The following is a 20,446-nucleotide window of genomic DNA, read 5'->3' as shown; positions in this document are numbered from 1 at the left end:
TCTGAAGCTGGAAATCAGCTTCACTGGGCTAAGATCAAGGTGTTCACAGGACTGCACTCCTTGTGAGACTCTGGGAGAGAATCCATTTTGCTTCTCCGGCTTCTAGAGGTCATCTGCATTCCTTGGCTTCTCGCCCATACCCCTACAAATTCTGCTTCCATCCTCACACCTCCTCTGACTCTGACTCTCCTGCCTCCCTCTTATAAGGGCCCTTGTGATTCCATGCAGCCCTCCTGATTCTTCCAGGAAAATCTCCCCAACTCAGGGCACTTAATTCAATCACATCTGCAAAGTCACTTTCATGGTGTAAGGTAATAGTCACAGGTTACAGGGGTTAAGATGTGGACATCTTTGGGGGAGCCATTATTCTACCTATCATACCCAGCCTAGGAAGAAATGCCTTGCCCTACGTTGTGGCCTCCGAATACCTCCTCTCCACAAACAGCACTGGATGGCACCTGTGCTCTTGCTCCGCCCCTGAACATTTCTTAAAATAGTTAGTGTTTGATAATCTGCACTCCTGTCTGAAGTGTGATAGTGTGATAGTTTAGTTTCTGGAGCTAGGATCAGTCTGGATTGGAATTCTGACCCTTCCTCTTCCTCCCTGTGAAAACCTGGTAAATTGCCTCCTTCTTTGTTTCTTTGTATGTGGGGTATGAATAACAATACTGTCTCCTTTCCCTGAATTATTGTAAGGTTGAGAGTTACTTAATGAAAGTGTGTAGCAGGCACTGTGCAGACACACAAGGGCCAGGATGCCAATGGTGCCAGTTGATGGGAGGCTGAGGCTGGTCATAAGCATGGTTTGGTTAGACCCTTTCTTTTTGGAAAAAAAGGCAAAGGTACAAAGTTGTGGAGATGGCAGATTGCTCTCAAGGTGCCCACCTGATGATTCATGCTAGGAATTTATGCAACTTTCTGTAACCCAGAGCAGGATATCTCAACCTCTGCACTATGGATATTTAGGGCTGGATAATTCTTTGTTGTGGGAACAGCTTTTCTTTTCAGACTCCACGTCTTCTCTCTGGCTCTGATATCCCCAGTGTGATAGGTCAATAATCGCAATGTCATCCCTTTGTCTCCAAATGCCCCTGAAAGTGGCCACTTTGCTGTCAGTCATTTACATCTTAGTGTAAATGAATAGTCTGAGACTAGGATTTGATAGAATGGAAGAGAGCAAGGAGAGGTTTTGTAGGTAAAGATTGGGGAAGCAGCAATGTCACATCCCATCTTTACAATTTTCCTGACTTCTGACCCCGTTTTTGCACTTGTTCATAGAAAACTGTGCTGTTCAATTTTCAAATTATAGAGATTTATGAACACTCTAGACCCAATGAAAGGATTTCTTAGAATCAAGAGGTAGAATTACAAGTCTCCATTTTCCCTTTTATAAGCATTTATTTCACCTCTAATGAATTCACCATCAGATTGCCCAGGTACTGACCCCTTTTGAAGGGCAGCGTTGGGCCATCTTGGAGGTGGTCATGAAGCTCTCAGGCAGGGTGGACCTGGAACTCCCACTGGCATGGTGGTTGGGAGAAATGAGTATTGTCTCTTGTTCTCCATTAACCAGATGTGTGGCCTTGGGCAAGTCTCTTTCCTATCTTGGGCCTCCTTTCCCACATCTCTACAGTGAAGGAGCTCAGTTAGATTGTGTCTGATGTCCGCTGTAGGCCTAAAGTCTTATGAATCTGGAACTCATCCATGATGGTGTTGAGGTTCCATTCTGCATTGGAAATAAAATAGCTCTTAAAGGCTGGGTGCGGTGGCTCATGCCTGTGATTCCAGCACTTTGGGAGGCTGAGGAAGGTGGATCACGAGACCAGGAGTTTGAGAGCAGCCTGGCCGACATGACAAAACCTCATATCTTCTAAAAATACAAAAATTAGCTGGGCATGGTGGTGCATGCTTGTAATCCCAGCTATTAGGGAGGCTGAGACAGGAGAATCACCTGAACCCAGGAGGCAGAGGTTGCAGTGAGGCGAGATCGCCACTGCACTCCAGCCTGGGTGACAGAATGTGACTCTGTCTCTAAATAAATAAATAAGAAAAAGAGCACAGTAAAATAGTTCTTAAGTTCTTCTCAGCAGTTTGGGTGAGTTAGAGACAACTGCTGTTGGCTAAAGTGAGAATCAGTATTTCCCTTTCCTCTATGGGAAAACCTCACAGATTCAACCCCTTATCAGCCATTCATGATATATGACAATTACATAGCCTGCAAAGCTGAACGGTGACTTCCTAATTGTTTCAGGTAAGACAATGATCATGAAACAGTCAACGTCTCTTTTCCCTCATTTGGCTTTTACTTTACGTTCAATAATGCAGATGATGTGCAAACTCTAAGATAGGTACATCTTGCATTAGGTACCCCTTATCTAGCAGCAAGAGAGTAAAATCCACCAAGAGAGTAAAATCTAGCAGCAAGTGTGTGTGTCTTTGTGTGTGTGTGTCTTTGTGTGTGTGTGTGTAACACTAATGAGCATTAAGTAAGAAGTTTTAGCACAGTGACTTGATAGAAGTGGTTAGAGAATGAATTCAACAGATAGTTATAGTTACGTATGTGGACATATAGATATCTATATCTTGTCAGATTTTGCAGACTGCTGGAGAAGAATTCCCCCATATCTGATTTAGATGATACTTAGATGATACTCTAGATTTATAAGTTAAAGTTGATGTTGGATTAATTAAGATTTTTGGAATTATTGGGATAGAATGAATACATTTTATTATGTGCTTCAAATGCAGTGGTGGGACAGGCATAGGATGGATATTCCCATTCCAAAGGGGAAAAAAATAGGAAAGAAGAAAGGAGTAATAGGTCTCACTCCCATTCGAAACCCAACAAGGCAAATAACACTCAAATATGGAGGACTGAAAATAATTTTATTTGACTCCATTCCTGACTACTTGACACACTGGTATATGGGTTGGTCCCCACAAGACTCTGGGCAGCCTCATCCCCGTGGCTTTGCTAGGCGCGGCTTATGCTGCAGCTTTCACAGGTTGGAGTCACATACCTGTTATTCTTGCAGGCTGGCATTGCATGCTGGTGGCTGCACAGGCTGGGGGGTCTCAGGAGTGGCCCTGCCCCCACTAAGCATTGCCCTAGTAGGGGCTATCTGTGGTAGCCCTGCCACTGTGACAGTTCTCTGCCTACGCCCCAAGGCTCTCATAAGCATCCTTTTAAATCGAGGAGGAGGTAGCCATGCCTGCTTAGCTCACGCACTCTGAGCATTTGCTCAGTTAGCACCACATGGATGCTGCCAGGGTTTACCTCATGCTCTCCGGACTAGCACTTTGAACCACACCTGGGTGCACTTGAGGATCTACAGCTGCAACAGACAAAGAGTGTTGGGCCAGAATGAGTGGAGCAGAAGCCTGAGGCAGTCCTGGGTGATGAAGCCTCAAGGTACCACCTATGAAATTGTTCTGCCTTCAGGGCCCTGGCACTCTGAGCCTGTTATGAGAGTGGCGGCTTCCAAGATCTTTGAAATGACTTTGGTGTCATTCTTCCATTGTCTTAATGGAATAGCATCTGGCTTCCTTCTAGGTATGCTAATTTATTTGTCAAAGAGTCACTTGGCCTCACCCTTAGGATTATTCTCTCCAAAACAGTACCTTTCCATTCTTTACATGGCTGGGCTGAGAATTGTCCAACGCTTTAAGTTCTGCTTCCCTTTTGATTATAAGCTGTGTCTTTAAGTTGTTTCTCCCTTCTCGTCTTTTCCTATAAACAGTCATGCAGCACTCTCAACACTTTGTTTACAGATTTCTTCTGCCAAATATCCCAGTATATCACTTATAACTTCTGCCTTTCACAAAACATTAGAACATGGGCACCATTTGCCAAGTTCTCTGCCAACTTATAACAAAGATGACGTTTCCTCCGGTTTCCAATGCCTTGTTCTTCATTTCCACCTAAGACCTCATCAAGATGGCCTTCACTGTCTGTATCTCCATGAATACTGTGTTTACAACCACTTAGTCTCTAGGATAATTTAGGTTCTCTCTGCAGCTGTTTTCATTTGAGCCCTCACCAGAATTACTTTAATACTCTGTTAATGAAAATACAGGCTATTTCTTTAGTCTGATTCTGCAAACTCTTCCAGTCTCTACACATTACCCAATTTCAAGCCACTTCCACATTTTTCAGGTATTTGTTATAGGAACACCCCACTTCTTGGTACCAATTTCTGTCTTAGTTATCTGTGCTGCTATAATAAAATATCAGAGACTGGATAATTTATAAACAGTACACATTTATTGTCCACAGTTATACGGTCTGGGAAGTCCAAGATTAGAGCACCAGTATATTCTGTGTATTCTGTGTCTGGTGAAAGCTACTCTTTCCTTCCAAGACAGAGCTTTCTTACTGTGCCCTCATTGCAGTGGAAGGGGACAAAAAAGGATGAACTCTGTGTACTCACATAAGAGAAGAGGTAGGACAGAAGGGCCTAGCTAGTTCCCTCTGGTCTTTTTATAAGGTTGCTAATCTCATCTATAAGGGCAGAGTCCTCATGGCCTAATCACACTCAAAAGGCCTCACCTTTTACTAGTGTTGTGTAAGTTTCAAAATGAATTTTGGAGGGGCACATACATTCAAACCATAGCACTTTATATCAGGCACTACATTATAGACTAAAGATAAGATTGTGTATGAGGCTTAGACTCTTCTCTCAAGGAGCTCATAACCAATCATGGGCTATAAATAAATTAACTAACAATCTTAATATCATGATAAGCATTATATTGAGGAAGCTTTGGAAACTATTGAAATGAACTTTTTGGCATCTTATGAAGCTCTTGTGAAGTAACCATGAAGCAGAGAGCTGAAGGATGATTAGAGTTAGGTAAATGGTAAATGGGTAGATGAGGTAAAAATCAGTTAGTCTAGGTTATGCTACGCTGTGTAACAAACAGCTCTCAGAACTTGAGATCATAATAAGATTTATTTCTTCCGTATTCCATGTCTGTTATGGGTAATTTGGGAGAGTGTTACTTTGTGTTTCTTCATGCCAGGACCCAGGCTGATAGGGCCGCTACCATTTGGAAAGTGACAAGAGGAAGAGAGAGAATGAAACAACAGTAAGCACTGGCTCTCAGCTTCTACCTGAAGAGACAAACATTGCTTTCACTTACATTTCACTGGCCAAATCAAGCCCATGGCAACAATTGAGTTCAAAAGCATAAGGAGGTATCTGGAAGGAAGAGAATCAGAAAATTTCTGATGAGCCTCACTGACTACCTTCAGGGCAAAAAGGAAGAGAGGCACTCCAGATCAGAGATCTGCATTGGAAACTCCTTGAGAACCAGAAGGGTATGCTGTATTTTTGTAACTGTGAGGAGCCCAGAAAGACTGAAGCCCAAATAAAATTCCTTTATTCAATATTAATTAACGTATTTGTTAATTATTAATAAATTTAACTTAATGGCCAGACACGGTGGCTCACATCTGTAATCCCAGCACTTTGGGAGGCCAAGGTGGGCGGATCATGAGGTCAGGAGATCGAGACCATCCTGGTTAACACGGCGAAACCCCGTCTCTACTAAAAATACAAAAAATTAGCCGGGTGTGGTGGCGGGCGCCTGTAGTCCCAGCTACTTGGGAGGCTGAGGTAGGAGAATGGCTTGAACCAGGGAGGCGGAGCTTGCAGAGAGCTGAGATTGAGCCACTGCACTACAGCCTGGGTGACAGAGCAAGACTCCATCTCAAAAACATAAAAATAAAAAATAAATAAAATAAATACATTTAACTTAATTATTCTGAGCATTCAGTTATACAGTCTGTCATCTCCGTCCCACCAATACCTAGCACTATGCTTGCCAAATAATTGTTGCAACCAAATTACTGAAACTAAACCATGGTTGATTACATCTGAGTCCCCAGATTGAGGTCTTGCCTTTTTACGGTGAGGCCAAAATTTTCACACAGGCCTTTTTTCCATCCCAGTGCTTACCCAAGTCAGGGAAAAAGGCATTTACTTTCTTGGCCAGTCAGGGTGGTGGAACATTATTATTTATTTAAAACCCATTACCTACAAACCTTTTGCATGGAACCAATTAAGAAATCTCTTAAAGAAAAAGATAATATTATGCTTGGTGTAACACAGTTTTTGAGGGCCTTTTTAATGTGTTAGGAAGCCCCATAGGTCTTGACAATTTTTTTTATGTCTCCCTTTTAAAAGCAAGGCTGCTGCCAGGGAATTTGGACTCTGGTGGTAAGTGCTGGTTGTGGTTTTCCTCAGAATAAAATTATGGGCATGTTGAAGGTGGGGTGAGGCAGAGAGTGGGAAAACGCAGGGAATGTGGGCACTTATGTCGGTTAAGGTGTCAAATTTTACATGTCTGGGTTTTGTTTCCACCAGGCTCCACTCTCTGAAATCACCATTCTGTTATATATGCTTACTGGAAGGGCTGGCTCTGTTTCAAAGAAATCTCTCTGAAATGGGGACATCAGAATGTAAAAGTTGATGAGATGTTGGAAGGGCCAGTTTTAGATGGAGGCAGCAAAGGTGCTGTAATTTGAAAGGGCAGTATGAAAAACAACCCTTCCTGAGAATCAACAGCCTGGAGTTAGAGCCCCAGAAAACAGTGGTGAGCATTTGGTCGTCCACTGTGTCATCTTGGGATGTCTCTAGCCTTTGCTTTCTCAGTAGCAGGCTGGATTCTATAACCTTTAAGGCTGTAAACTGTCTTTTGCATATAACCTGTCCTGAGTCTAAGATCCCTCTCTTGGATATCTTAGTGTCACCATTCTTACACTGGAGATTCATTCCTGTGGATTATGTTCTCAATTTTTGTTTTATTTTTGGAGATGGAGTCTCGCTGTTGTTGCCCAGGGTGGAGTGCAATGGCATGATCTCAGCTCACTGCAACCTCCGCCTCCCAGGTTCCAGTAATTCTCCTGGCTCAGCCTCCCGAGTAGCTGAGATTATAGGTGCCCACAACCATACCTGGCTAATTTGTGTATTTTTAGTTGTTGCTTTTAGAGAGAGTAGAATGTATTTCTAGGCTTTCCACAGCAGAGCTCCATGAAAAGATGTTTAAGTTCTGACTAGAGGGGAATAGAGAGAGTGGTCAAGCACATGTGCACACACAGCCTGTGACTGGCCAACTGCTCCTTCGGTTTCCAGAATTTTTAAAACATCTGCCAAAATGCAGGTGTCATCCCATTCCTCCCTGTCTTTCTAGTTCTTTTAAGCATGTTTTCTATCATGAATAGGACACTGTACCAAAGACAGGAGATACAATGCAACTCATTCCCACCTATTCAGAAGCTTACAGCCAGAAGAAGAGATGAGAATGTGCAATGACTAGCACAACATAGTGATATTGTGACAGCATTTTTCAGTTCTGCATTATACTATGAATTATTGCATAACACTATGCAATAGTACTATTATTTAAGTTCTGCAACTACTATGCAATATTGCATAGTAGTTTTAAGTTCTGGAGCCTGCCTGTGTTCAGAATCCAGCTCTCCCGTTTGCTAGCTGTCAGACCTTGGGCAAGGTACTATGACTTATTTTTGTCATCTGTAAAATGAGGAAACTAATATTACCTGACTCAGAGGCGTTGGGGGGAAAAAAAAATATATATATATATAGCCTGACACAGGGCCCTTAATAAATACTAGTATACTCTCAATAAATAAAACAGTGTGCCTTCAATAAATATTAGTTAACATTTATTTTTAATTTCAACTTTTATTTTAGATACAGGGGATACATGTGCAGGTTTGTTACATGGGAATATTGCATGAGGCTGAGGTTTGGGGTACAGATTCCATCACCCAGGTAGTGAGCATGGTAACCACAAGGTAGTTTTTCAACCCATGCTCCCTCCTTCCCTACCCCTTCTAGTGTCTACACTATTTATTATTCCCATATTTATGTCTATGTATGCTCAATATTTACCTCCCACTTATAAGTGAGAACATGTGATATTTGGTTTTCTGTTCCTACGTTAATTTGCTTAGGTTTATGGCCTCCAACTGCATCCATGTTGCTGCAAAGAACATGATTTCATTCTTTTTTTATGACAGCATAGTATTCCACTGTGTGTGTATGGACCACATTTTCTTCATCCACTCTACCATTGATGGCCACCTGGGTGGATTCCACGTCTTTGCTATTGTGATTAGCACAGGGATAAACATAAAAGTGCATGTGTCTTTTTGGTAGAATAATTTATTTTTCTTTGGGTGTATACGCAGTAATGCAATTGCTGGATCAAATGGCAGCTCTGTTTCAAGTTCTTTGGGAAATCTCCAGACTGCCTTCCACAGTGGCTGGACTAATCTACATTCCCACCAAAAGTGTATAACCATTCACTTTTCTCCACAGCCTCACCAGCACCTGTTATTTTTTGACTTTTTAGTAATAGCCATTCTGACTGGTGAGAGATGGTATTTTATTGTGGTTTTGATTTGCATTTCTTCAATTAATGATGTTGAGAATTTTTTTCATGTTTGTTGGCTGCTTGTATGTCTTCTTTTGAGAACTGTCTATTCATGTCCTTTGCCTATGTTTTAATGGGGTTGTTTTTTGCTTGTTGATTTGTTTAAGTTTCCTATAGATTCTGGATATTAGTCCTTTGTTGGATGCATAGTTTCTGAATATCTTCTCCTACCCTGTAGGTTATGTATTTACTCTATTAATAGTTTCTTTTGCTGTACAGAAATTCTTTAGTTTAATTAGGTCCCACTTGTCTATTTTTGTTTTTGTTGCAATTGATTTTGGGAACTTAGTCAAAAATTCTTTGCCAAGGCTGATGTCAAGAGGAGTATTTTCCAAGTTGTCTTCTAGAATTTCTATAGTTTGAGGTTTTACATTTAAATCTTTGATCCATTTTGTATATGGTAAAAGGTGAGGTTCCAGCTTCAATCTTCTGCATATGGCTAGCTAGTTATCCCAGCACCATTTACTAAAGAGTGAGTCCTTTCTGAATTGCTTGTTTTTGTCAGCTTTGTCAAAGATAAGATAGTTGTAGGTGTGCAGCCTTATATCTGGGCTCTCTGTTCTGTTCCATTGGTCTATGTGTTTATTTTTGTACCAGTAGCATGCTCTTTGGGTTACTATAGCCCTGTAGTATAGTTTAAATGTTGGGTAATGTGGTGCCTCTGGCTTTGTTCTTTTTGCTTAGGATCGCCTTGGCTAGGGTCTTTTTTGGTTTTATATAGAAACCAGAGTTTAGAATAGTTTTTTCTAGCTCTGTGAAGAATGATGTTGGTATTTGATGGGAATAGCACTGAATCTGTAAATTGCTTTGGGCAGTATGGCCATTTTTACAATATTGATTCTTCCAATTCATGATCATGGAACGGTTTTCCATTTATTTGTGTCATCTCTGATTTCTTTGAGCAGCATTTTGCAGTTCTCCTTGTGGAGATCTTTTACTCCCTTTGTTAGCTGAATTTTCAGGTATTTCATCCTTTTTGTGGCTATGATAAGTGGGATTGTGTTTTTGATTTTATTCTCAGTCTGGACATTGTTGGTATATAGAAATGCTACTGATTTTTGTACATTGATTTTGTAACCTGAAACATCATTAAAATTGTTTATTAATTCTAGGAGCCTTTTGGTAGAGTGTTTAGAATTTTCTAGGTATAGAATCACATCATCAGTAAAAAGAGATAGTTTAATTGTTTTTTTCTTATTTGAATGTCTTTTATTTCTTTCTCCCGCCTGATTGCTCTGGATAGGACTTCCAGTACTATGTTGAATAGGAGTGGTTAGAGTGGACATTCTTGTCTTGTTTCTGTTCTCAAGGGGATTCCTTCCTCCTTTTGCCCATTTAATATGATACTGTTTGCTGATTTGTCATAGATGGCTCTTATTATTTTGAGGTATATTTTTTGATGCCTAGTCTGTTGAGGGTTTTCATCATAAAATATGTTAAATTTTATTGAAGGCTTTTTCTGTGTCAATTGAGATGGTCATATATTTTTTGCTTTTTAATTCTATTTATGTGGTGAATCACATTTATTGGTTTGTGTATGTTGAACGAACCTTGCATCCCAGGAATAAAGACTGCTTGATTATGGTGTATTAACTTTATGATGTGTTGCTGGATTTGGTTAGCTAATATTTTGTTGAGGAGTTTTGCATCTATGTTCATGAGGAATATTGGCCTGGAGTTTTCTTTTTTCATTGTGTCTTTGCCAGATTTTTGTATCAGGCTGATGCTGGCTTCACAGAATGAGTTAGGGAATAGTCCCTCCTCCTCAATTTTCTGGAATAGTTTCAGTACAATCAGTATCAGTTCTTTGTATGCCTGGTAGAATTCAGCTGTGAATCTATCTGGTCCAGAGCTTTTTTGTTGTTGTTGTTGTTAGGATCTTTATTACTGATTCAATTTCAGAAGTTGATATTAGTCTATTCAGGGTTTTAATCTCTTCCGGATTCAATCTTGGGAGATTGTGTGCTTCCAGGAATTTATCTGTTCCTTCTAGATTTTCGAATTTGTGTGCATAGAGTTGTTCATAAATTCATAAGTCTCTGAGGATCTTTTGCATATCTGTGGGATCAGCTGTAATATCATTTGTTGTTTCTGATTGTGCTCGTTAGGATCTTCTCCTTCATTTTTTTTGTTAATTTAGCTAGCAGTCTATTTTTCAAAGAATAAACTCTTGCTTTCATTGATTTTTTGTATTGATTTTTGCATCTCAACTTCCTTAAGTTCTCTAATTTAATTATTTTCTTCTATTTCATTTTAATGATTTATTTTCTTTGGGATTAGTTTGTTCTTTTTTTTTCTAATTCTTCTAGGTGCAAAGTTAGATTTTTAATTTGAGATGTTTCTAACTTTTTGATGAAGGCATTCAGGGTTATAAACTTTCTCTTATCACTGCTTTGGATGAAAACAGTAATAGTAAAAGACTTCAACATCCCACTGACGGTATTAGACAGATTATCAAGGCAGAAAACCAACAAAGAGACTCTAGATTTAAACCCAACACTTGACCAATTGGACCTCATAGACATCTACACAGCACTTCACCCAACAATAACAGAATATTCATTCTTCTCATCTGCACAAAAAAAATGTATTCTAAGGTCCATTACATGCTTGATCATAAAGCAAGTCTCAATAAATTAAAAAATTGAAATAATACCAAGCACACTCTGGGATCACAGTGCAATAATAATAGTAATCAATATCAGGAAGAGCTCTTAAAACTATACAAATACTTTAAAATTAAACAATTTACTCCTGAATAACTCCTGGGCAAACATCAAAATTAAGGCAAAAATAAAATATTATTTGAAATTTTTCACGCATGTCTGTGTGAAGAGACCACCAAACAGGCTTTGTGTGAGCAACATGGCTGTTTATTTCACCTGGGTGCAGGCAGGCTGAGTCCGAAAAGAGAGTCAGCGAAGGGAGATAAGGTTGGGGCCGTTTTATAGGATTTGGGTAGGTAAAGAAAATTACAGTCAAAGGGGGTTTGTTCTCTGGCGGGCAGGAGTGGGGGTCACAAGGTGCTCAGTGGGGGTGGTTTTTGAGCCAGGATGAGCCAGGAAAAGGACTTTCACAAGGTAATGTCATCACTTAAGGCAAGGACCGGCCATTTTCACTTCTTTTGTGGTGGAATGTCATCAGTTAAGGTGGGGCAGGGCATATTCACTTCTTTCGTGATTCTTCAGTTACTTCAGGCCATCTGGGCGTATATGTGCAAGTCACAGGGGATGGGATGGCTTGGCTTGGGCTCAGAGGCCTGACATTCCTGCCTTCTTATATTAATAAGAAAAATAAAACAAAATGGTGTTGAAGTGTTGGGGTGGCTAAAATTTTTGGGGGGTGATATGGACAGAGAATGGGCGATGTTTCTCAGGGCTGCTTCAAGCAGGATTAGGGGCAGCGTGGGAACCTAGAGTGGGAGAGACTAAGCTGAAGGGAGGTCTTGTGGTAAGGGGTGATATTGTGGGGATGTTAGAAGAAACGTTTGTCGTATAGAATGATTGGTGATGGCCTGAATACGGTTTTGGATGAATTGAGAAACTAAATGGAATAACAGAAGGAGAAAAACAGGTATAAAAGGTCTAAGAATTGGGACAACTCAGGATATCCGATTAGAGAGTGCCTAAGGAGATTCAGCATAGTCCTGCCAGCAAAGATTATTTATTTACTTCAAGAGTTAAGAGTGGCAGTTTGGGGATAGCACCAGGAGATATCAGCTGTGATGGCTTGGAAAAACAGTGTAAACCGGCAGTGTAAACAAGAGCAGGGCATGTATGAGTAGTTGAGAACAGTGAATAGGAGTATGACTAGACAGAAGATAGTAGGGATGACAAGTTTTTTTGGGGGCACAGTCTAAGTTGGTCTGGTGTCTGGAATGAGACTGGGGCCTAATAAAAAGGAGCGTCTATACAGGAGCTTAAATGGGCTGTACCCTGTAGCATTCCGAGGACAGGCCAGAATTCTGAGAAGGGAAAGTGGTAAAAGTATTGTCCAGTCCTTTTTGGTGGCTGAGCTTGGTGAGGTGTGTTTTTAAAAGACCTTTAGTCCATTCTACTTTTCTTGAAGACGGAGGACCGTAAGAGATATAAAGGTTTCACTGAATACTAAGAGCCTGAAAAACTGCTTGGCTGATTTGACTAATAAAGGCTCATCTGTTATCACACTGTATTGAGGTGGGAAGGCTTAACCGAGGAATTATGTCTGACAGAACGGAAGAAATGACTGCGGTGGCCTTCTCAGACCCTGTAGGAAAGGACTTTACCTATCCAGTGAAAGTATCTACCTAGACTAAGAGGTATTTTAGTTATCTGACTCAGGGCATGTTGAGTAAAGCTAATTTGCCAGTCCTGGGTGGGGCAAATCCTCGAGCTTGATGTGTAGGGAAGGGAGGGGGCCTGAATAATCCCTAAGGAGTAGTAGAATAGCAGATGGAACACTGAGAAGTTATTTCCTTGAGGATAGATTTCCACGATGGAAAGGAAATGAGAGGTTCTAAGAGGCAGGCTAGTGGCTTGTACTATAGCATAGCCTGCCTTTGCTGGTGTGTGGCGATTAGGCCTGGTGGAACCGCCATCAATAAATCAAGCGTGATCAGGGTGAGGAACAGGAAAGAAGGAAATTTGGGGAAATGGGGTGAATGTCAGGTGGATCAGAGAGATACTGTCATGGGGGTCAGGTGTGGTATCAGGAATAATGTGGGAGGCCGGACTGAAGTCTGGGCCAGGAACAACGGTAATTGTGGGAGACTCAACAAAGAGTGAGTACAGCTGAAGGAGCCGGGAAGCAGAAAGTATATGCGTCAGGTATGAGGAAGAAAATAGATTTTGGAAGTTATGAGAACTGTAGAGAGTGAGTTGAGCATAGTTTGTGATTTTGAGGGCCTCTAAAAGTATTAAAGCAGCGGCAGCCGCTGCATGAAGATATGAGGGCTAGGCTAAAACAGTAAGGTCAAGTTGTTTGGACAGAAAGGCTATACGGTGTGGTCCTGGTTGTTGTGTAAGAATTCTGACCACGTTAACCATGCCTAGGAAGGAAAGGAGTTGTTGTTTTGTAGAAGGTGCTTGGGTTTGAGAGATCAGTCGGACACGATTGGCAGGGAGAGCACATGTGTTTTTATGAGAATTATGCCGAGATAGGTAACAGATGAGGATAAAATTTGGGCTTGACTGAAGTAATGGGGGCTGTCTGTGAAGTCTTGCAGCAGTACAGCCTAGGTAATTTGCTGAGCCTAATGGGTCTCAGGGTCAGTCTAAGTGAAAGCAAAGAGAGGCTGGGACGAGGGGTGCAGGGGAATAGTGAAAAAAGCATCTTTAAGATCAAGCACGGAATAGTGAGTTGTGGAGGAAGGTATTGAGGACAAAAGAGGGTACGGGTTGGGCACCACAGGGGGGATAGGCAAAACAATTTGGTTGATAAGGCGCAGATCCTGAACTAACTTGTAAGGCTTGTCTGGTTTTAGGACAGGTAAAATGGGGGAATTGTAAGGAGAGTTTATAGGTTTTAAAAGGCCATGCTGTAGCAGGTGAGTGATAACAGGCTTTAATCTTTTTAAAGCGTGCTGCGGGATGGGATATTGGCGTTGAGTGGGGTAAGGGTGATTAGGTTTTAATGAGATGGTAAGGGGTCACCAAGGAGGGAGTAGAGGTATCTTATACTTGTGGGTTAGGGTCGGGGGATACAAGAGGAGGACGCAAGGAGGCTTTGGATTGGGAAGAAGGGCGGCAATGAGATATAGCTGTAGTCCAGGAATAGTCAGGGAAGCAGATAATTTAGTTAAAGTGTCTCAGCCTAATAAGGGAACTGGGCAGGTGGGGATAACTAAAAAGGAGTGCTTAAAAGAGTATTGTCTAAGTTGGCACCAGAGTTGGGGAGTTTTAAGAGGTTTAGAAGCCTGGCCGTCAATACCCACAACAGTTATGGAGGCAAGGGAAACAGGCCCTTGAAAAGAAGGTAATGTGGAGTGGGTAGCCTCCATATTGATTAAGAAGGGGACGGGCTTACCTTCCACTGTGAGAGTAACCCAAAGCTTGGCGTCCGTGATGGTCTAGGGGGCTTCCGAGGCAATCAGGCAGTGTCAGTCTTCAGCTGCTAAGCCGAGAAGATCTGGGAAGGAGTCAGTCAGAGAGCCTTGGACCAGCGTTCTAGGGGCTCTGGGAGTGGCTGCCAGGTGAGTTGAACAGTCCAATTTTCAGTGGGGTCCCACACAGATGGGACACGGCTTAGGAGGAATCCCAGGCTGCGGGCATTCCTTGGCCCAGTGGCCAGATTTCCGGCACATGTAGCAAGCTCCTGGGGGAGGAGGTTCTGGAGGAACGCCTGGCCGCTGCGGTTCAGGCGTTTGGAAGTTCTTGTGTGCTGCAGATGTGGCTGGGGTTTGTCTCACAGTGGAGGCAAGTAATTGCAACTTTTTTCTATTATTGTACACCTTGAAGGCGAGGTTAATTAAATCCTGTCATGGGGTTTGAGGGCCGGAATTTAATTTTTGGAGTTTTATTTAATGTCGGGAGCAGAATGGGTAATAAAGTGCATTTTGAGAATAAGACGGCCTTTTGACCTTTTAGGGTCTAGGGCTGTAAAGTATCTCAGTATTGCTGCTAAACAAGTCATGAACTGGGCTGGATTTTTATATTTGATGAAAAAGAGCCTAAACGCTATCTGATTTGGGATAAAGAAAAAGGAGCATTAACCTTGACTATGCCTTTAGCTCCAGCCACCTTTCTAAGAGTAAATTGCTGGGCAGGTGAGGGAGGGCTAGTCACGGAAAGAAACTGTAAGCCGGACCAGGTGTGAGGAGCGGAGGCGATAAAAAGATTATAGGGTGGAGGAGCGGAGGCTGAGGAAGAATTGGGACCTAGCTCGGCCTGGCGAGGAGGTGAGAGGTCAGATGGGTCTGTAGAAAAGGAAGATTAGAAAGACTCAGCGATGCTTGGGGTTGGGACTGAGGGGACAGGCGGGAGGGAAAGAAGGAAGATTTGGGACGAGTTGTACTGGGCACAGAGACTAGGAAGGGACTGATGTGTAAAAGAATGCCTGGACGTCAGGCGCCTCGGACTGTTTGCCTATTTTACAACAAGAATTATTTAGATCTTGCAGGATGGAAAAATTCAAAGTGCCATTTTCTGGCTATTTGGAACTACTGTCGAGTTTGTATTGGGGTCAAGTGGCATTGCAGAAGAAAATAAGGCATTTAGGTTTTAGGTCAGGTGTGAGTTGAAGAGGTTTTAAGTTTTTGAGAACACAGGCCAAGGGAGTAGAAGGAGGAATGGAGGGTGGAAGGTTGCCTATACTGAAGGAAGCAAGCCTAGAGAAAAGAGAGAGTAGAGAAATGGAGGGAAGGGGTTCGGGGGTTCTTACCTTCCAGAAAAGGGGTGGGGTGCAGAGATAAGAGGTTGGGGTGTGGAAATAAGGGATTGGGGCACAGAGATATAAGAGGTTGGGGCACGGAAATAAGGGATTGGGGTGCAGAGATACGAGGTTGGGGCATGGAAATAAGGGATTGGGACACAGAGATAAGAGGTCGGGGTGCGGAAATAAGCAACTGGGGGGTTCTTGCCCCCCAGGAAAGCAGGACTTGCCGCTAAGGGTGAAGGAGAAGGGGTTGAGGGGTACTTGCCCCTGCCCCAGAAAAGCAGAGAAGGGGTTGGGGTACTTGCCCCTTCCCCAGAAAAGCGGGACTTGCCGCTAAGGGTGAAGGACCAAGGCAGGCGTCCCTGCGTGTGGTCTGACACCCTTGAAACGTGAGTGTATAATCAGAGAGGCGTCCCTGCAAGGATTAAACACCAAGGGAAGGCTGCCTTCCCAGTCCGTGACCGGAGCCGGAGTTTTGGGTCCACGGATAAAACGTGTCTCCTTTGTCGCTACCAGAAAATGAAAGGAATTGAAATTAAGGGAGACATTGAAGTGTGGCACCAAGATTGAAAGGAGAAAGAGGTTGAGGGATAGTGAGGGAGGTTGGAGAAGAGAGTAAAAAGAGGCTGCTTACCGGATTTGAAATTGGTGAGATGTTTCTTGGGCTGGTTGGTCTGAGGACCTGAGGTCGTAGGTGGATGTTTCTCATGGAGCAAAGAACAGGAGGACAGGGGATTGATCTCCCAAAGGAGGTCCCCCGAGCCGAGCCACAGCACCAAATTTCATGCGCGTCCGTGTGAAGAGACCACCAAACAGGCTTTGTGTGAGCAACATGGCTGTTTATTTCACCTGGGTGCAGGCGGGCTGAGTCCAAAAAGAGAGTCAGCGAAGGGAGATAAGGGTGGGGCCGTTTTATAGGATTTGGGTAGGTAAAGGAAAATTACAGTCAAAGGGGGTTTGTTCTCTGGCGGGCAGGAGTGGGGGTCGCAAGGTGCTCAGTGGGGGTGCTTTTTGAGCCAGGATGAGCCAGGAAAAGGATTTTCACAAGGTAATGTCACCACTTAAGGCAAGGACTGGCCATTTTCACTTCTTTTGTGGTGGAATGTCATCAGTTAAGGTGGGGCAGGGCATATTCACTTCTTTTGTGATTCTTCAGTTACTTCAGGCCATCTGGGTATTCAAGTCACAGGGGATGGGATGGCTTGGCTTGGGCTCAGAGGCCTGACAAAATTAATGAAAATACACAACTTACCAAACTCTCTGTGATGCAGCCAAAGCCTTTTACATATTAATTCATTTATTTCTCCTGATAGTCTCTGAGTTGGTACTAGTATTATTATTTCTTATTTTATAGATGATAACACTAAGGTACAGAGCAGTTAAGTAACTTCCCTTAGATCACACAGTTAGTAGCTGAAAGCTTTGGGATATGACTCTAGGCAGTCAGGCTATAGAACCTGTGCCCTTCATCTCCTGCTCTGATAAATGGCTACTACTACAGCTAATACACATATTATGGTATTTGAATTTCATATCTCTAGAGAGTAGTTACTATAAGCCCTGCTTTCAATAATGGAGACACTGAAACTCGGAGAGGCTAAGTTACTAGGTCTACGACTCATGGTAAATAGCAAGATCAATGAGTTTTCCACTGTCTCTCAATTTCATGGACAACCCTATCAAATGAGGCAGGGTATGTTAAATGTCCGAAGTTTTTATTTTATAGAATTAAGCTAAATATGAACCCTAGGACCAGGAACAAGAAAATGTAATACTTATCACCTCATGGTGCTTTGTATGAAGGCAGGGACCTGGAATATTCATAGTTACCTGATGCAAAAATCTAGACCTCTGGGGCCCATGCCATACCCAGAGAATCAGAACCTCTGAGGTGAGGCTTAGAAATCTGTGGCTGACAAGATTCTCACGTGTTTTTTGATGTGTAGCCAATTTGAAAACCACAGCAACAGCAGAGCTGAATGCAGATTGCTGAGTGGCATTTCTCCACGAAGTGCCCCAGAATGCGGTTGTGGGAGAAGCTTGGACAAGAGCCCCCAACTCTGATCTCAATTACTGACTCTGTCCCTCAGGACTTGTTGACAATAAGCAACCCACTCAACTTCACTCAGCTACATTTTCTTCATCTGCCATCACAAGGAACATAAGTGTTAACACATGTAAAAGCCTAAGTACAAAAGCTGATGCACAAAATGCAAGTTTTCTTTCCCTACGAAATTGTTCTGAAAGGACTTTTTCAATTATAGAGGACTATGCAGAAAGAATAGAATGATTTACTCTGAACAGTTCTACACACTCAACACCTGCCTTTTGTGCTGAAACATTTAATTTCTTGTGGGCATGCCTGAAATCATCATGGTTTCTAAATGCTCAAGTTTCTTGTTGATGCTAATCCGAAGATATTTCTAGTAGTCGCTGAAGCTAGTTGTCTGAAACTTAATTATCTATAGATAAAGTTTGTTTGTAGAACACCCAGGCCCTCAATTTCTCCTTCTTAAGTCTGAAATCAACATGGTGGTGGGTTGCCTCCCAAAATATGCCAAAAAGAAAAGGGAAGCATAAATTAGTTCCTTTGGGCTATGTCTAGTGAAGCAAAAACCCCATGTCTGTGTGTTCATCATTTACTGGGCATCTTTTGCAGCCTAAAGAGGCTAATCTGGTAAGCTCTAGTGGGTGGTGTTACGTTTCCAGCAAAGGAGAGATTTGGATGCCTTGAAATACATGGACAATGTCATAAGGTTACCCAGGTTGGAGAAATAACCCCATTAGTTATAGATAGCAATTTATGCTACCATGAGTCCTCTAACAGACTACCTCATAAGGAGCTCAATTATTTTCTGATTCCTGCCAATGTAGCTTCTCATAGAGAGAAAATAAAAATAAAATGGTTTCCAATCATGATTTGGTTCCCCTGTGACTTGGCTTCAGGGAAGGAAACTCACCAACTCAGACCAACCTGAAACTTTTGTCTTCTTTCCCCCCATTGAAAATTAATAAACTGACACTCTGGTATATCTCCTAGCTGCACAGGCATGTTGGTTAGCCTGAGTCAGGCTGAATTCTGTGTGTTGAAAAGATGATTTTCTTTCCAAACATCCTCTCTTAAATGATGTCAAGGTCTTTGGCTCACAGTCTCTCACTCAAATGTTATCAGCCCCGAGCAGTTTGCATTGTGATGCCTGTTGGGGATACAAAAGCAGAACAAGGCACCCATCCCTGTCTTCAAGGGGTTTGCAGTATTGCTGGGAAACAAGCAATCAGATAAATTTCAGAATCATACAAGATGAGACATGATCAGAGGCTCAATGGAACACATTTAAATGGGGTTGGAGAGGTAAGTTGGAGCCTAGGAATGGGGTTCACGTAGAAGTGTGGTGGTCAGAGGGAGAAGTCGTTGTCTTCTGCAGTCTAGATGTTTCCTGTTGGATTGGCCCAAGTGGGATAGGTAGGCAGGGAGCAGAGAGGATAGCCTGCCATGCCAAGAAATGGCCTGGGCAGAGATTCTAGACCACTTTGGAATTTCTGTCATGGAGGTTCTGATCATTGAATCCATGGACTCACACAGAAGGTCATGTCCTCCCCACTCCCAGAGATAAGAGGGGAGGCAACATGCTTGCAAAATAAGTGGTCTCCAGGCCGGGTGCCGTGGCTCACGCCTGTAATCCCTGCACTTTGGAAGGCCAAGGCGGGTGGATCACCTGACGTCAGAAGTTCAAGACCAGGCTGGCCAACATGATGAAACCCCGTCTCTACTAAAAATACAAAAAATTAGCCGGACCTGTGGGTAGGCACCTGTATTCCCAGCTACATGGGAGGCTGAGGCAGGAAAATCACTTGAACCTGGGAGGCGGAGGTTGCAGTGAGCCGAGATTGTGCCACTGCACTCCAGCCTGAGTGGCAAGAGCAAAACTCCGTCTAAAAAAAAAAAAAGTCTCAAATCTGAATATGTCAGCAAATCTTTCCATATTGGCCAGATTCTCAAAAATGCTGCTCCTCTGCTCTAGCCCAGTATCACCTTCCCTAAGGAGCCTGGGGAGCAGTTTTCCCAAATTATACACAGGGATATGCTCTGTACTTTTCCACTCATAATTAAATAAATATTTGAATAGTTACTTGTTTAATGACTGTCTCTCCTACCAGACAGTCAGCTTCATTAAATAAAAAGTACTTAGCATGGTGCTTGTCTCCTAGTAAGGACTCAATAAATGTTGTCTCTTTGTGCTACTTGTGTTTCATGAGAGCAAAGCCTGTTTCTGTCTAGTCATCAGTGTATTCCCAGTGCTAAGCAAGACGTCTGGCACAAGAGAGTCTCAGTAACATATTTATTCAATGAATGAACTCTTGGTTCCACTGCCCCATTCCCATCTCACCACCACAAAACTACTTTTCTTATAGCTTTCCCCAATTCAGTAAATGATAATTCTAATCTAGGAATTTTTCAGGTCAAAAACCTTACTGTCAGCCTTGACTCCTTTCTTTCACATCCAAGCCTATTCCAACAGCAATGGCAACCAACTCTGGCCTCAAAATTTACCCTTAAACAATGTCTTATCATCAATTCTCTTATGGCCACTCTAGACCAAGCAACCATGGCTTCGCAGCTGATCTGTCACTA

The 20,446-nt window shown here is 42.5% G+C and overlaps 1 long non-coding RNA gene across 2 annotated transcripts in view, besides 1 other annotated feature; it reads left to right on the top strand.

Moving 5' to 3' along the window:
• Positions 1-20,446, top strand: part of CASC8 (cancer susceptibility 8) — a 192,464-nt gene that overhangs the window by 33,397 nt on the left and 138,621 nt on the right. The window contains exon 5 of one of the 2 annotated variants that reach the window (NR_024393.1): positions 5,023-5,393. The exons of the other annotated variant lie outside the window; for it this stretch is intronic. This is a non-coding gene — a long non-coding RNA (cancer susceptibility 8). Of the gene's footprint in view, positions 1-5,022; positions 5,394-20,446 lie in introns of those variants that run through there. 2 annotated transcript variants of the gene reach the window in all.
• Positions 15,613-16,527: an enhancer, noted in NCBI's record as "H3K27ac hESC enhancer chr8:128444461-128445375 (GRCh37/hg19 assembly coordinates)". NCBI's record gives its function as "activates a minimal SCP1, AML or CMV promoter by ChIP-STARR-seq in primed H9 embryonic stem cells {active_cell/tissue: H9 hESC(primed)}" and the evidence as "EXISTENCE:reporter gene assay evidence [ECO:0000049][PMID:30033119]".

This window comes from Homo sapiens, chromosome 8 (genome assembly GCF_000001405.40).
Source record: "Homo sapiens chromosome 8, GRCh38.p14 Primary Assembly".
NCBI classification, from domain to species: domain Eukaryota; kingdom Metazoa; phylum Chordata; class Mammalia; order Primates; family Hominidae; genus Homo; species Homo sapiens.
This window is presented reverse-complemented; position numbering and strand designations above follow the sequence as displayed.